General features: G+C 43.5%; 1 protein-coding gene across 1 annotated transcript in view; it reads right to left on the reverse strand.

The window, feature by feature from the left end:
* Window positions 1–19018, reverse strand: part of DHRSX (dehydrogenase/reductase X-linked) — a 281471-nt gene that overhangs the window by 187229 nt on the left and 75224 nt on the right. The window contains exons 2-3 of the mRNA NM_145177.3: window positions 18463–18570; window positions 2011–2079 (exon numbers count right to left, since the gene is read on the reverse strand). Of these exons, the coding sequence (NP_660160.2) occupies window positions 2011–2079; window positions 18463–18570 (177 nt within the window). The remainder of the gene's footprint in view (window positions 1–2010; window positions 2080–18462; window positions 18571–19018) is intronic.

Here is a 19018-nt window from a genome sequence, read left to right on the forward strand (position 1 = left end):
TGGCCAGAATGATGATTTCTACAGTTAATTACAAGTGTTGGGGAGGGTGTAGAGAAAAGGGGGCCCTTGTACACCACTGGTGGGAATGTCAATTAGTACAGTCACTATGAAAAACAGTACAGAAGTTCCTCAAATCATTAAAAATAAAAGCACCACATAATTCAGCAATTCCACTGCTAGGCACAGACTCAAAGCAAATGAAATCAGTGTATCAAAGAGATGCCTGCATTCCTATGTGCATTGCAGCACTATTCACAGGAGCCAAGATATGGAAACAACCTAGGTGTCCAACAACACACGAAAGCATAAAGAAAATATATATCTATACCTGATGGAATACTATGCAGCCATGAAAAAGGAGGAAATCCTATCTCCTGCAGCAACACAGATGGAACTGGAGGCCATTACCCTAAGGGACATAACTCAGAAACCGAAAGTCAAATACCATTCTTCTTAGGTCGAGTCCAATTTGCTGGGTCCGACTCGCAGACTTTGGCTGAGCGACGGATGAACAAATGCACTCAGACACAGATTTCCAGTGAAAGCGTGGGCTAGGGGATGGGGCCACTCACAGACACTGAGGAGGGTGTTTTAAAGAGTCAGCAGCCACGGCTTTGACAAGCTGCTGCTGTGGGCCTTTATTTAGTATACATTTAATGACAAAGGCCTTGAGTCAACACATTCGTGGGCAATTCATATGGTCGTCCCCCGCAACCCGGAGAGAGGGAGAGAGTAGTTCTGTGCGTGGATGATTAAAGGCCAGGTTCTGAGGCCTAAGCAAACTAACTTATCTAGATCAGTTTCTTTACATCCCCTCGTTATCTAACCTAAGCTTTCAGGCACTGGATAAGAGAATCTGGCTGCCTTCAGCCAAATCTTATTCGGGAGCATTTGCAAAACCTTCTGGCCTCCCAAGAAGGTTTGCATCTTCTACAATTTTTCCTACCACCCTGACCGACCTCCTACATTCTTACTTATAAGCAGGAGCTAAATAATGTGTCCACATGGAAAGAGTGGAATAACAGAGACTGGAGACTCAGAAGGGTGGGAGGTGGAAGAGGAGCAAGGGATGAGAAATTACCTCTCGGGTACAATGTACGTGATTCAGGTGTTAGCTATACTAAAAGCCCAGACCTCACCACTACGCCATTCATCCATGTTAACAAAACTGTACTTGCACTCCCTACCTGTATACAAATGAAAAATAAAATAATAAATAAATAAAAGGACAGAGCATTGAGAATCTAGATGGATATTAGAAAGTTGTGTGCACACCTTCCTTAGTGTGAACAGACAGAAAGAGCACACCAGAATTTGGTCTAGCACCTGGTCGAAAATCTTAAGGGCAAGCATATTCCTGTTTGATTTATCTTTTTTTCTTTCTTTCTTTTTTTTTTTTGAGACGGAGTCTTGCTCTCTCTCCCAGGCAGTCCCAGATTCAAGCGATTCTCCTGCCTCAGCCTCCTGGGTCATTGGGATTACAGGCACATGCCACCATGCCTGGCTAATTTTTGTATTTTTAGTAGAGATTGGGTTTCACCATGTTGGCCAGGCTGGTCTCCAACTCCTGACCTCGTGATCCACCCGCCTCAGCCTCCCAAAGTGCTGGGATTACAGGCGCGAGCCACTGCGCCCGGCCTGATTTATCTTAAGTCAAGAACTCCCAACCAGCAGAGGCACCTCCTGGCATGTGCCCTGGAGGTCAACAGGAAAGGACAATGGCTCCTGTTCCCTGGGGAACACACATTTGAGTAAGAGTGCAAGCTACCAGCACATCTGCATGCCTTTCCTAGCAGATGTCAGAGCTGAGTGATGCTATCTTCGCCTTGCCTTGACCATCTCCTGCTCTAGGATGGGGCCAGAAATCCCCAAAAGAAGAGTGCAAAAATCAGAGCCATCTCTCCCAAATGCCACCTGGCACGTGACTGAAGCTCAGCCATGAACCACGCAAACGACCTGTCCCAAGGAAAAAAAAAAACAAAAAAAAGCCATTGGAGTATCTCTCGGTACCTTTGTCGTTCAAGGTTTCTTCTTTTATTTTGCTTACAACTTGTTTGGCTTTGCTGTCATTATTTCCAGCTAAAAGGAAAAAGAAAAAAAAGATACGGTGACTTGTAGGATTATCCAGAAACTATTAACTGCAAAAAAAAAAAGAGGTTTTAAGAGAAGTATAACACAAATCTGAAATGTGCCTTTGATGGACTTTCCCTTTATCCTAGCGTCTAACTTGACAGCCATTTTGGCAGACTAAAGCTATCCATTTAAGAGTCATTTTCTTTAGCCTGCATTGGCAAAAAGTACAAATGCATTTGACATTCTACTTTTCAATAGTGACAGGGACCCGGGGCACCTGCTGGTGTAATTTGCACGTGAGAGCTGAGAATAGCATAAGCATAAAAAATGTGCATTAAAATGTCAGGATGGAAACGAATTTTCGAAGGAGCTTTTATGCTGGAAACATCCCAGTGTGCACACACAGACTGCACGATGCACGTGATCACAGACCGTGGTTCCTACTACGTGCTCAGGATTTCTTTCTGTTTCTTTTTTTTAATTCTACTTTAAGTTCTGGGGCACATGTGCGGAATGTGCAGGTTGGTTACATAGGTATACACGTGCCATGGCAGTTTGCTGCACCCATCAACCCATCATCTACATTAGGTATTTCTCCTAATGCTCTCCCTGCCCTGCCCCCTCAACCCCTCGACAGGCCCTGGTGTGGGATGTTCCCCTCCCTGTGTCCATGCGTTCTCATTGTTCAACTCCCACTTATGAAGGAGAACATGGGGTCTTTGGTTTTCTGTTCCTGCGTTAGTTGGCTGTGTGCTCAGGATTTCTTACTCCTCTCACTGCACTTCCGTAAAACTCTCCAAGTGAGGTTTCAGGAACACGCCTTTAGAAGGATGGAAAGAGGTGTTTTGCTTGTTATAGCTAAAATAAAGACTAGGAAATCCGGGGTGAAAGAATGTTAATTGGGTTTTTTTGTTTTGTTTTTTTGTTTTGTTTTTTTTTTGAGACAGAATCTTGCTCTGTTGCCCAGGCTGGAGTGCAGTGGTGCGATCTCAGCTCACTGCAACCTCCACCTCTCTGATTCAAGTGATTCTGCTGCCTCAGCCTCCTGAGTAGCTGGGATTAGAGGTGACTGCCACTATGCCCAGCTAATTTTTTCGTATCTTTAGTAGAGAGGGGGTTTCACCATGTTGGCAAGGCTGGTCTTGAACTCCTGATCTCAGGTGATCCTCCCGCCTCGGCCTCCACAGTGCTGGGATGACAGGTATGAGCCACCACACCCGGCCTGGTTTCTTTAATGTCTTAGGAAGTGAACATGCGTTGAACAGGAGACTATAGTTTGATGTTGTCTTCGTCATTTTTTCAAATGTCTTTGACCCGGGAGGTTGGATTTTAAGGTGTTTCTGAAGGGGCGGCTCTTTAGGGGAAAGGAGTTTGGCAAATTTTTCCTCCTTCAGCCTCATCCTTCATTAACCTGTTGGCAACATGTGGGATTAGCTGCTTTCCAGGGTGAGCCAAGCCCAAAACTCCCTTTCAGGGAGGGTCACGGAAAAAGTGTTGAGAGAAGGGAGATGAGAACTAGCAGGGGAAGCGCACAGGCTTGAACAAGAACGTCTTGGGTGCCCGGAGAGCTTCAAACAGCTGATCTGCAAGGAGCAGTTACCAAGGGGGTGGGGCCGGTCTATCTCCATCCTACCTGCACCCAGCCCGGGCCAGTGAGGTGTTCTGTAGTACAGCACCGTCCCCGGGTCTCCATGAAAATACATTACCAAATAATCCCTCTCTTTGGCATTCCTGAATACTGAGTCAACACGGCGTATTGAATTTACACACTCTAACACAAGGAAGAGACCATGCTGTTTGATATCCTATCATTGTATTCGGTATTCTTTCTTCTGTGTTAAGGCCATGGGCTCCCAAATTAACTATTAGAATGCACTTTTCAAAAAACAATGAAAATGTTTTCAGCAAAGAGTGAAAAAATATATAAAAGAGGAGAAGCAGTGAAACTTATGAAGTTGGAAATGTTTTTGGCTCCAGTGGGAGACGGCTAAGATAAATAGTGCAAAGTCCATCCTTTGGGGCAGAGTAAATGGAATATCTAAATTGTCACTTCCTTGAAGGAATTCAAAGTTGCAGACATCAGAAGACTGAAGCTGCAAAGGTAATTTGCACCTTTGACTTCCTTAAAGAAACAGAACATGATACCATTATTACATTTTTGCTTTGACAGTCCTTTGGCACTGAGGAGGCAGCAGGCATTTCAGGGAGGTGGGTTTCGACGGGAGGGAGAGGAAGAAATAGCCTGAAAGGTATATTCCATCTATAAATGTCCTATGCATCAAACACAAAACAAAAAAAGAAAGGATAAAAAAATTCAAAGTCAAGGTAACCTTTACACTGGGGACTTGTACATTCATGAGCTTATTTATGAAATCCCATGAACTTTTTAAATGTAAGCACTCATCCACTGCTGGGCTGCTCTGCCGTATCAGCCATCTCAAGATCAAAGGGTGCGGCCGGGTGCGGTGGCTCATGCCTGTAATCTCAGCCCTTTGGGATTTGGGAAGCCGAGGCAAGCGGATCACGAGGTCAGGAGTTCAAGACCAGCCTGGCCAACATGAGGAAACCCCATCTCTACTAAAAACACAAAAATTAGATGGGCATGGTGATGTGTGCCTGTAATCCCAGCTACTAGGGAAGCGGAGGCAGGAGAATTGCTTGAACCAGGACCCGGGAAGCAGAGGTTGCCATGAACTGAGATCACACCACTGCACTCCAGCCTGGGCGACAGAGCCCAACTCTGTCCCAAAAAAAAAAAAAAAAAAAAAAGTTAGCCAGACATGGTAGCAGGCACCTGTAATCCCAGCTACTCTGGAGGCTAAGGCAGAAGAATTGCTTGAACCCAGTAGGCAGAGGTTGCAGTGAGATGAGATTGCGCCACTGCACTCCAGCCTGGGCAACACAGCGAGACTCCATCTCAAAAAGAAAACAAAACAAAACAAAACAAAAAAAAACAAAGGGAAACATGCCGGAAGCTGGGACGAAGTAAGATGGGAGCCTCCACCTTCTCAAGAAAGACAAAAGTGACCAGAAAAAGCTGGGAGCATCAAAAAAAGCCAGGTGAAGTGATTATTTGGGAAGACCACCTTCATGGGCAGGCCATTTTCCATGGTGGCACCGTCAACGCTGGCATAGGACAGAAGCACCACACTGGAGGAATGGAGAAGGTGAGGTGGCACGTGCGGTATCTTCTTTGGCCAATGTCACCTTCAGCAATTGTCTCCTCAGACCTGGAGGGAGCTGCTTTAAGGAACTGGACGTGGGACATTTGGCCTCATATGCATTTGCTGGAGTGGTTCCTACATTTGCTGAGCAAGTACTGCATATGCAGAAACACCGCACACGTCCCAAACACAGTGCATCTGCCTTCTGCTTCATCCTTTGTATTTGGGGGGGCAGGGGAGGGCGTTACATGTTATATGTGCAATGGAAATTGGTATAGCCATTATGGAAAACAGTGGAGATGGGGTTTCACTATGTTGGCCAGGCTGGTCTTGAACGCCTGACCTCGGGTGACCCGTTTGCCTTTGCCTCCCAAAGTGCTGGGATGACAGACATGAGCCACTGCACCCGGCCTGGTTTTTTTCACATCTTAGGAAGTGAACGTGCTTGGACAGGAGACTATAGTTTGATGTTGTCGTCATTTTTTTCAAATGTCTTTGACCAGAAAGGTTGGATTTTAAGGTGTGTCTAAAGGGGTGGCCTTTTTTTTTTTAAGAGTTCCTCAAAAAATGATCATTATGCCTACCATAGGATCTAGCAATCTCACTCCTCTGTATAGATCCAAAGGAAATGAAATCAGCCCCTTATAGAGATATCTACACCCCCATGTTCGTTGCAGCATGATTCACAAGAGCCAAGATATGAAACCAACCTAAGTGTCCATCTAAGGATGGGTAGATAAATAAAATGTGGGATAGCTACACCATGGAATACCATTCAGTCTTTGAAAACCAGAGGACCCTATCCTGTGATACAACATGGATCAACCAGGAGTACATCATGTTAAGTAAAATAAGCCACATAAAACCAAATCCCACATGATCTCACCCATATGTAGAGTCTCCAGAAGTTGAACTCACAAGAAAAAGTATTATGATGATTATTGGCCAGGCGTGGTATCTCATGCCTGTAATCCCAGCACTTTGGGAGGCCAAGGCAGGTGGATCACAAGGTCAAGAGATCGAGACCATCCTGGCCAACCTGGCAAAAGCCTGTCTCTACTAAAAATACAAAAATTAGCCGGGTACGGTGGCATGCACCTGTAGTCCCAGCTACTCAGGAGGCTGAGGCAGGAGAATCGCTTGAACCCAGGAGGTGGAGGTTGCAGTGAGCCGAGATTGCGCCACTGCACTCCAGCCTGGTGACAGAGTGAGACTCCATCTCAAAAAAAAGAAAGAAAGAAAAGAAAAAGAATTATGGTGATTACCAGGTGCTAGGGGGGTGGGTTGCTGAGATTTTGTTCAAATGACACCAAATGTCAGTTTGACAGAAGGTATAAGTTCAAGAGATCTATTGTACTTAAGGTGACTAAATTAGTGACTATAATCTTGAACCTGACTATAATTAGTCACAGTGACTATAATTAATATTTGAAAATTGCAAAGAGAGTAGATTTTAAGTGTTTCCAAAAACACACACAAAAAGAAACATGTAAGGTAATGGATATGTGAATTAGCTTGAATTGGCCATTCCAGATGGAAACATATATCAAAACCACATTTTGTACACCATAAAAATATGTAACTTGTTTTTGTCTATTAAAATAAGTAAATAGATAATTAAATACAAGTTTAAATATTTTACACGTTTCACATGTACTATTCATGGACAATACAAAGTATATGTGGCACAAGTCATTTTTAAAAGACAGTTGCAATTTAGATAACCTAACCAACTAGACTTCCTGTGACCTACAAAACTAGATTTTATGATGACCAACGCAACTACACCTCATCATACTCTAACCCAACTAAATCTCATTAGGACTAACCAAAATACACCTCATCATAACTTAACCCAAATAGATCTGATTATACCCTAACCCAACTAGACCTCATCATGACCTAACCCAACTAAATCTCATTATAACCTAGCCCAAATAAACCTCAACATGACCTAATACAAACAGGTATCTTTATGACCAACCCAAATACACCTCATCATAACTTAACTGAATCTCATCACAACCAACGACACTAGACCTCATAACCTAACCAAACTAGACCTCATCATGACCTAATACAACTAGATCACATCATGACCAACTCAACTAGACCTCATCATGACCTGACACAGCTAAATCTCATTATAAACAAGCCCAACAAGAACTAATCATGACTGACTATGACTAGATTTCATCATGACCAACCCAACTACCTCATCGTGACCTAACTAACTCTCATCATGACCAACCCAACTATACCTCATCATAACTTAACCCAACTTAACTACATCATAACCTAACTCAACAAGACTTCATTATGACCTAATACAACTACATCTCATCAAGGCCAACAAAACTAGTCCTCATCATGACCTAACAAAATCTCATCATGACCAACCCAAATAGACCTCATCACAACCTTATCCAAGTAAATCTCCTCATACCCTAACCCAACTAGAACTCATCATGACCTAACCAAACTAGACTTCATCATAACCTAACCAAACTAGACCTCATCACGACCTAATACAACTATATCTCATCAAGACCAACCCAACTAGACCTTATCATGACCTAATTATATCTCATCATGACCATCCAACTAGATCTCCTCATGACATAATCCAACAAGATTTCATCATAACCAAACCAACTAGACCTCATCATAACCTAACCCAACTAGGTCTCATCATGACCTAATACAACTAGATCCCATCATGAGCAACACAACTAGACTGCATCATAAACAAATTACATCTCATTATGACAACGAACTAGATCTTATCATAACCTAACACACCTGGGTCTCATCATGACCCAATACAAGTAGATCTCATCATGAACAACCTACCAGAGCTCATCATAGCCTAGGCCAACTAGATTTCATTATGACCTAATACAACTAATTCTCATAATGACCAATCCCACTAGACCTCATCATGACCTAACCAAACTGGACTTCATCATAACCTAACCCAACTAGACCTCATCATGACATGAGACAACTAGATCTCATCACGACCTACCCAACTAGAACTCATCACGACCTAACTAGATCACATCGTGACCAACCAAACAGATCCCATTATAACTTAATCCAACTAGATCTCATCATAACCTAATACAACTAGATCTCATCATGACCAATGCACTAGACCTCATCATATCCTACCACAACTAGATCTCATCATGACCTAATCCAACTAGATCTCATCATAACCTAATACAACTAGATCTCATCATGACCAATGCACTAGACCTCATCATATCCTACCACAACTAGATCTCATCATGACCTAATACAACTAGATTTCATTATGACCACCGCATCTGGACCTCATCATAACCTAACTGGATCTCAACATGACCAACCAACTAGATCTCATCATAACCTAACCCAACTATAACTCATCATGATCTAGTACAACTAGCTCTCATCATGACAAACTCAATGAGACCTCATCATAACTTACCCCAACTACATCACATCATGACCTAATACAACTAGATCTCATCATGACCAACCAACTAGATATCATCGTAATATAATTCAATTAGATCTCATCATGACCTAATACAACTAGATCTCATAAAGACCAGCCCAACTAGACCTCATCATAACCTAACTCAATTAAATCTCCTCATACCCTAACCCAACTAGACCTCATCATGACCTAACCCAACTAAACCTCATCATAATCTAACCCAACTAGACCTCATCATGACTGAATATGACTAGATCTCATCACAACCAACCCAAATAGACCTCATCATAACCTAATTAGATCTCATCATGACCAACCAACTAGATCGCATCATAACCTAACCCAACCAGATCTCATCATGACCAACCCAACTAGACCTCATAATAACTTCACCCAATTAGATCACATCATAACCTAATACAACTAGATCTCCTCATGACCAATCTAACTAGACCTCATCAGAACCTAACTAGATCTCATCATGACCTAATACAACTAGTTCTCATCATGACCAACCCAACTAGACCTCATCATAACCTAACCCAACTAGATCTCATCAAGACCTAATACAATTAGTTCTCCTCATGACCAACCCAACCGGACCTCCTCATAACCTAACTAGATCTCGTCATGACCAACCAACCAGATCTCATCACAACCTGACCCAACTAGATCTCGTCATGACCTAATACAACTTGATCTCATCCTGACCAACACAACTAGTCCTCATTATAGCCTAACTAAGTCTCATCATGACCAATCAACTAGACCTCATCAGAACCTTACCCAACTGGATCTCATCAGGATCTAATACAACTAGATCTCATCATGACCAACCCAAGTAGACTTCATCATAACCCAACTAAACTTCATTATAACCCAACTAGACCTCATCATTATCTACCCTTCCTGAGGACTGTACAAGAGATTTCTTATATTGGAAAAAAGCAGTATAATTTCCTCTTACTAAATAAAAAGATTTTGAGCCCAAACCAGAGTCACCAATCTGCGGCTAAACCTGGCCTGCAGCTGGATATTGTACAAAAAGTTTTACAGCAACATAGACTTTCCTGTTGTTTTAAGTATTACCTATGGGTGGTTACTCACTACTAGGGCAGAGCTCATAGTTATGAGAGAAACATATGAACACATTTATTATCTGTCTCTTTACAGAAAAAGTTTACCCACCCCACTTTCATCTTAGATGACAGTCCATTGAGCATTATGAAAAAAAATGATCCCCCACCAAAATAATATTTTGAAACAATGAGAACTAAGATCTTGTGGACAGATGGGAATTTGAACAACTGATATATGTGTCTAGTAATATTAATGTGCTTCAGTTGGACCCAGGTTATAATCTGAATTATTTTACAAGTAATTGATTATTCTTTAAATATTAATAAATTTTTAATTAAAATTTTGAAGTTAAATTTCCCATCTCTTATTTTGTATTTAATATAAAATTCATTGTGTTCAATGATATTTTTTCATTAATTGACTTTGAATCAAACTGCCATACAAAATGAAAAAATGCCTCTCTCAGAATATATCCAATTATCCTCAAAGTCACACAGGGGAAATAAGACTGCATAATTGATTGGATTGACCTGAAGGGTCAAAACTGTAACTCACAGTGAAAATTAAACACTGACATCAGGAGCTCTGTGGGATAGGAGACACAGGTGGGGTGCAGATGTGGTGTTTACTTTCTGTTTATCTCAAGAAAAAAGGCACATTGGTGCTGACATATACTGCTCCTGATGCTCAGTAAACATCATCTAAATGAAGTGGTAACACTTGAGATTCCCATGCACATGAACAAGAAGCTTGCTCACATGTCTTCATTGCTTTGTGCCTACAAAGTCCTCAGTCAACTAGACCTCACTGTGACCTAACCAAACCACACATCATCATGATCTAACTCAACCTGTCATCATGATCTAATCCAAGAGGACTTTATTGTGTTCTATTCAACTACCTCATGATGACATAACCCAGCTGGACCTTATCATGACCTAATCCAACTAGACCTTATCATGACCTAACCCAACTAGACCTCATCATGATCTATCCACTAGGCCTCATCATGACCTTCCTAACTAGATCTCCTCATGATCTAACCCAATTAGACGTCATCATGACCTACCCAACTAGACGTCAATGTGACCTGACCCAACTAGAACTCATTGAGTCTTAACCCAACTAGACTTCATCATGACCTAGCCAAACCACACATCACCATGATCTGATCCAGCTAGATCTCATCATGCTATTACTGAAGTAGACTTCATTAAGACCTAATTAAATCACACCTCATAATGATCTAACTCAACCAGTCATCCTAATCTAATCCAACAAGATTTCATCACATTCTACTCAACTACCTCATCATGACATAGCCAAACTAAACATTATGATGAACTAATACAACTAGACTTCATCATGACCTAACCAAACTGTACCTTACCATGATCTAATACAACCAAACCTCATCATGACTTAATACAAATAGACCTCATCATGGCCTACCCAACTAGACCTCAATGTGACCTAACTCAACTACATTTCATCAGGACCTAACTCAACAAGACCTCATCATGACCTACCCAATTAGATCTCAAAGTGACCTAGCCCAACAAGATTTCATCATCACCTAAATAAGTCACACATCATCAAGTCTAATCCAACTAGATCTCATCATGCTGTTACTGAACTAGACTTCATTAAGACCTAATCAAACCATACCTCATAATGACCTAACTCAACCAGTCATCATGATCTAATCGAACAAGACTTCATTACATTCTACTCAACTACTTCATCATGACATAACCAAAGGAGACGTTATCATGATCTAATACAACTAGACTTCATCATGACCAAACCAAACTGTACCTCAGCATGATCTAACTCAACCAGACATCATCAGAACCTAATACAACTAGACTTCATCATGACCTGCCCAACTAGACCTCATCATGACCTAAACCACCACAATGAGGCAAAAAAGCACAAAGAAATGGGGTGTTTTCTTCCTTTCCTAGTTTGATTAAGAATTAAACTAATAATTAAACATTGCCTAGCTAAATTAAGAATTAAGAAGATGAAAAAGATCATTGCACTGGAGGAGACAAAAGATCAAATATAACCAGTAATGGATGTGAGCCCTCCCATCTTTGTTCAACCTTGAGGGTCTCTCTTCATCCTACTCCACCATCATTGAAGCCACTAGGCTCACATCCAGCCAACCTTCAGAGAATACCTATTGCTCTCCCTGTTCAAAAAATCAGCATCATTTTGACCCAGTCATCTCAAATATTGGCAGAAGTCTGAGATATAGAAAGTCCTGGAAAGTTTGTCATGTTGTTAATGATACAGCAGATATCCACCTAGCATGGATGGTCAAAACCAAGGGTTGCCATCCATCACCACCTCACAGTCTCCAAGCTAAATCTCAGAACCCCCCCTGCCCTACATCTTGTCTCTAATTTACTCAGGTCCCAGGGAGATGTAAACAGATCATGGAGGTGCTCAAGTTCATAAGAAGTTCTAGAAATACACTCTCAGATGGGCACCCTCTCCCCTGGGGTCTCCTCATCTAAACCCAATCCTTTTGCATCTAGAGGGGGCGCAATAAACTGAATGTTTGTATCCCTCCAAAGTTCCTATGTTGAAATTCTAACATCCCCAGTGATTCTGTTGGGAGGCGGAGGCTTTGCGGGATGATTAGGTCACGAGGGTGGAGCACAATGAATGGAATTAGTACCCTTATAAAAGAGACCCCATCCAGGTTCCACCATGTGAGGACACAGGAGAAAGTGGCCATCCACAACCTAGAAGACAGACTACACCAGAATCTGACCACACTGACCCCCTGGTCTTGGGACTTCCAGCCTTGAGAACTGTAGGACAATAAGTTTCTATGGTTTATTGTGGAAGTCAGTGTGGCGATTCCTCAGGGATCTAGAACTAGAAATACCATTTGACCCAGCCATCCCATTACTGGGTATATACCCAAAGGATTATAAATCATGCTGCTATAAAGACACACGCACACGTATGTTTATAGCAGCACTATTCACAATAGCAAAGACTTGGAACCAACCTAAATGTCCAACAACGATAGACTGGATTAAGAAAATGTGGCACATATACACCACAGAATACTATGCAGCCATCAAAAATGATGAGTTCATGTCCTTCGTAGGGACATGGATGAAGCTGGAAACCATCATTCTCAGCAAACTATCGCAAGGACAAAAAACCAAACACCGCATGTTCTCACTCATAGGTGGGAACTGAACAATGAGAACACATGGACACAGGAAGGGGAACATCACACACCGGGGACTGTTGTGGGGTGGGGGGAGGGGGGAGGGATAGCATTAGGAGATATACCTAATGCTAAATGACGAGTTAATAGGTGCAGCACACCAGCATGGCACATGTATACATATGTAACAAACCTGCACGTTGTGCACATGTACCCTAAAACTTAAAGTATAATAATAAAATTTTAAAAAAAAAGTTTCTATGGTTTGCAAGGCACTCAGGCTACAGCAGCCCAAACACACCAAGACAGGAGAGTTAGGGACATGGATGAACTTGACAATTTCAAGAAATTGTCATAAAGTTTTAACTTGTCCCAGTCTATTAAGAGAATGAGGCCGGGCGCAGTGGCTCACGCCTGTAATCCCAGCACTTTGGGAGGCCGAGGCAGGCAAATTACGAGGTCAAGAGATCAAGACCATCCTGACCTACATGGTGAAACCCCCCCTCTACTAAAAATACAAAAAATTAGCTTGGTGTGCTGGCACGCGCCTGTAATCCCAGCTACTTGGGAGGCTGAGGCAGGAGAATCGCTTCAACCCGGGAGGCAGAGTTTGCGGTGAGCTGAGATCGCGCCACTGCACTCCAGCCTGGGCAATAACAGCGAAACTCCATCTCAAAAAATAATAATAATAATAATAATAAAATAATAAAATAAAATAAAGAGAATGGGGCCGGGCACAGTGGCTCACGCCTGTAATACCAGCATTTTGGGAGGCTGAGGCAGGTGGATCACAAGGTCAAGAGATCGAGACCATCTTGGCCAACATGGTGAAACCCCGTCTCTACTAAAAATACAAAAATTAGCTGGGTGTGGTGGTGTGCTCCTGTAGTCCCAGCTACTCAGGAGGCTGAGGCAGCAGAATCGCTTGAACCCGGGAGGCGGAGGTTGAAGTGAGCTGAGATCGCGCCACTGCACTCCAGCCTGGGCAACAGAGTGAGACTTCATGTCAAAGTAAAAAAAAAAAGAATGGATAAAAAAAATGCTCAAGTGGGAGTTAGGCACAACTTTGAGGAAAATAACTGCTTGATGGAAAGAAAGAGACTGATATAGACCAAAAAGTGCTCACCTGCTTCCGAAGCTCAACAAGTCATTAACTAATCCAACAAGATTTCATTATATTCTACTCAATTGCCTCATTATGACATAGCCAAACACGATGTTATCATTATCTAATACAACTAAGCTTCATCATGTGAAACAGTACACATCTCTGTATACTATTTTACAAACCCTGAAGTGCATCAGAGAAAGATGGTTATATGAGGAATGGAACTGCGTGTACAAAATTATTATTTTAAAAGACTCTGGGCACAGTGGCTCACACCTGTAATCCCAGCACTTTGGGAAGCCGAGGCAGGCAGATCGCTTGAACTCAGGTGTTTGAGACAAGTCCAAGCAACATGGTGAGGCCCCATCTCTACTAAAACTACAAAAAATTATCCAAGCCTGGTGGTGCACGCCTGTGGTCCCAGCTACTTGGGAGGCTGAGGTGGGAGGATCGCTTGAGCCCAGGAGGCAGAGGTTGTAGTGGGCTGAGATCACGCCATTGCACTCCAGCCTGGGTGACAGAGTGAGACGCTGTCTCAAAAATGTGAAAGTTGGGAAGAGCCATGACATAGAAAAATTTCAAGTTTTGCATTCATGTTTTGCAAAAGCCAAAAAGGCTCAAACTTAAGTGAAGGACGGAGCAAGGAGCCATGTGCGCTGACATGGACCACGCATCTCCAGGGAGACCAGAAGGCCACATGGGCTGAACATGGGGTTTCCCCATCTGAGTCAAAGACTCCTGGGGATTCCTGCATGAAATTCAGGAGGTTAGCATCAGCAAGGTTAGCATTTTCTTCTTTTGTAAATGAAGATGAGAAAACACAGAGGTGTGGGCAGCAGCCGTGCATTTGCCCCAGCAGAAACTGCCATGGAGATTTTTGGAGAGAGCTAACTCAAAGCCAAGTGGATGGCCATCGAGGCTCAGAACGCTAGCAGCTATTGAAACGCATGAGGCCCAGGACCAGAGCAGCTATTTAAACGCATGAGTATATCACAGTTTTTATCGTATAGATGTAATGCATACAATGATGTGGAGAGTTCATTTTTTCCTTATACCTTTTATCTGCATGTCAACTTCATCGATTCGTAACATGATGACTTTTAGCCTGTCCAATGAGCACCAACAGATGTCCAGAGGTTCAAGGCCTGGAAAGACTCTTTGCTGAGCCCTGGTCACCAGATCAGACTCATGCTCTTATGCTTGAGCCTTTTGGGCTATCGCAAAGGCATTCAAGGCCCAGAAAAGTGTCTGTCCTGGACAGAGCTCCTCAAAGATAAGGAAGAACTGAGACAAATTCATGTTGAAATCTCCAGCCCTAAGCATTGTTTATGATCCATGATCATCTTTCCATAATGACAACAAGGGAAAGAAGGACAGAGAATGGCGGAGAGGAAGAAGTCAATCAATAATGGGCATTGGTTTTGGAAAGTCTTTTTTTGAGACAGAGTCTCACTCTGTCACCCAGGCTGGAGTGCAGTGGCGCGATCTCGGTTCACTGCAACCTCCGGCTCCCTGGCTCAAGCGATGCTCCCGCCTCAGCCTCCCGAGCAGCTGGGATTACAGGCATACGCCACCATGCCGAGCTACTTTTTGTATTTTTAGTAGAGACGGGGTTTCACCATGTTAGCCAGGATGGTCTCGATCTCCTGACCTCGTGATCTGCCCGCCTCGGCTTCCTAAAGTGCTGGGATTACAGGCATGAGCCACTGCTCCCGTCCTGGAAAGTGTTAAGTCAATACGATCCTGCATATCTCAAACCAGACCTACAGTATGATGTTTATAAAAGCAGACACCATAAAAGTTATTAAAAGCAAAGGGTGCCCAGGCCTAGTGGCTCACACTTGTAATCCCAGCACTTTGGGAGGCCAAGGTGGGAGGATCACTTCAACCCAGGAGTTCAAGACCAGCCTGGGCAACATAGCAAGACCCAGTATCTCCAAAACATTTTGTTTATTTTTTTGAGACTGAGTCTCGCTCTGTCACCCAGGCTGGAGTGCAGTGGCGTGATCTCAGCTCACTGCAACCTCCGCCTCTCAGGTTCAAGCAATTCACCTGCCTCAGCCTCCCGAGTAGCTGGGACTACAGGCGCCCACCACCACGCAGGCACTCACCCCCAAGCCCAGCTAATTTTTGTGTTTTTAGGACAGTCAGGGCTTCACCATGTTGGCCAGGCTGGTCTTGAACTCTTAACCTCAAGTGATCTGCCCACCTTGACCTCCCAAAGTGCTGGGATTACAGGCATAAGCCACCACGCCCAGCCGCCAAAATAACTTTTTTAAATGAGCCAGGGCCAGGCACGGTGGTTCATGACTGTAATCCCAGCGCTTTGGGAGGCGGAGGTGGGCAGATCACGTGAGGTCAGGAGTTCAAGACCAGCCTGGCCAACAAAGCAAAACCCCATCTCTACTAAAAATACAAAAATTAGCAGGGCATGGTGGCGGGCGCCTGTAATCCCAGCTACTCTGGAGGCTGAGGCAGGAGAGTCGCTTGAACCCAGGAGGCAGGGGATGCCGTGAGCCGAGGTCGTGTCACTGCATTCCACCTGGGTGACAGAGCAAGATTCTGTCTCAAAAAAAACAATAATAAATAAATAAATAAAATGAGCTTGGCATGGTGGTGCACGCCTGTCATATCAGCGACTCATGAGGCTGAGTCAGGAGGATTGCTGGAGCCCAGGAGTTTGAGGTTGCAGTGAGCTATGATTATGTCACTGCACTGCAGTCTGGGCTGACAGAGTAGGATCCTGTCTGAAAATAATTAATTAAATGCAGATAGTGTCAAGAGTGGGCATAATACACATTAAGGCTTTTATTTTTCCAAGCTCGTCTCCACACATCATTTAAGCTAGCTGATTTAGACTTCCCCAGGTATGCAATAGACTCTCTCCCCTCCTCCCCGCCCCCCACTCCGTCTCCATTGGCAGTAGTGGAATGGGTTAATTTGAACTGTCCTCATATTCCCAGTTGAAGGGAGACCTGAAGAGGTCACAGAGGAAGAGGAGTCAGAGATCACGATAAGCTTTTAGAGAAATTTTCAAAAAGAAGAGCAGAAATCAAACCGTGAGTGTCTATAGGTCATGGTTGCAGAAGAAACAAGTATCCCGCAACATTGTTCAGATTCTGTTAGGAGCTTGTGTTTGAACAAAATTCATAAATTGAAGTCCTAAAGCCCAGGGCCTCAGAATGTGACTGTGTTTGGAAATAAGGTCTTTAAAGTGGTGATTAAGGTAAAATGAGGTCACCAGAGTGGGCCCCGATCTAATTGAACTGGTGTCCTTATAAGGAGAGCATATGAGGACACGGACACACACAGAGGGATGACCCTGTGAGGACACAGAGAGAAACCAAGGAGAGAGGCCTCAGGAGGAACCAGCCCTGCCCACACCTGGATCTCAGACATCCAGCCTCCAGGACTGTGGGAAACTCAATGTCTGTTGTATATAAGCTGCCCATTCTATGGTAATTCTGTTATAGCGCCTGAAATGGACTAAGACATCTCAGGAGAAGAGGAGATGAAAACACACAGAGGGACGACCCTGTGAGGACACAGGGAGAAGATGGTGTCTACAAGCCAAGGAGTGAGGTGTCGGGAGGAACCAGCCTTACTCACACTGTGATATTGAACCTCCAGCCTCTGGAATTGGGAGGAACCAGCCCTACTTACACTGTGATATTGAACTTCCAGCCTCTGGAATTGTGAAAAATAAATTTTGGCTTTTTAAGCAACCTCCAGTCTCCTTGAGATACTTTGTTATAACAGCCCTAGTAAAGTCATAAAGATATATGGTTATTTTTTTCCAGTAAACCATGTGAAAGAAACACAGGATCAATATTTAAGCAGAATATATATCTACTTCCAAAAGGGTACAACAATTTTCTGTGTTTTCTAGGTTGTGAATATCACCTTCATGAGCTTTCTGGATCTGACTGAATTTTCTATATGCACATCAACATTTGCATACATGTCTGAATCGACACCTAAGTAGCTCACATTAGGTATAAGACACAACTAACTCTGCCAGGCGCAGTGGCTCACACCTGTAATCCTAGCACTTTGGGAGGCCACGGCAGGCGGATGGCTTGAGCTCAGGAGTTCAAGACCAGCCTGGCCAGCATATGGAAACTCTGTCTCTACTAAAAATACAAAAATTATCCAGGCGTGGTGGTGCATGTCTGTAAACCCAGCTACTCGGGAGGCTGAGGTAGGAGAATCACTTTAACCCAGGAGGTGGAGGCTGCAGTGAGCCAAGATTGCACCACTGCAGTCCAGCACGGGTTGACGGACTGCGATCCTGTCTCAGAAAAAAAAAAAAACCGAAAAAACAAAAAACACAAGTAACTGTAAAAGTCATCACCTATGATAACATGCATGCCAAGTCTCGCCAGATGCTTCGCTGTAGAATAGCCAATGCCATCTGTCCCTCCCGTCACTATAGCGACACGGTCAGGTCGTGGGGGGAAAACTGAAAAAGAAGAAGAGAAAATCATCAAACTAAGATTTGAAAGCAGAGCACATATTTGTAAGAATTAAGCCTCCAGAGAGGCAAGATGCCAAAGGGAGTTATGGTTCATTTATTTCTGGTTCTGTTCCTCTTGAATTCCCACAGGCTCAGGAGGCATGAATGTATTAAAGTGGATTCGCCCCCAGTAATGACAGTGCAGTAAAAAACCACCTGATAAATCCCCTGTCATCCCCTGTGAGTCCCTGGCAGGCTCTGCAATATGCCGTCAGTGTGACCGGCAGAAAGGTCTGCAGAACGGATACCCTTTACAGAGGCGAGCAAGAATCCTGGAATAACCTCTGCTCTCAGGGCAGCACTGAGCAGGACATTTTTGTTCGTTTGCGTTGTAAAATGTAGACTTTATTATGATGTAGGTATGGTGGGGCCAACAGATCAGGAGACTGCCGTT

Source organism: Homo sapiens, chromosome Y, assembly GCF_000001405.40.
Source record: "Homo sapiens chromosome Y, GRCh38.p14 Primary Assembly".
NCBI lineage: Eukaryota > Metazoa > Chordata > Mammalia > Primates > Hominidae > Homo > Homo sapiens.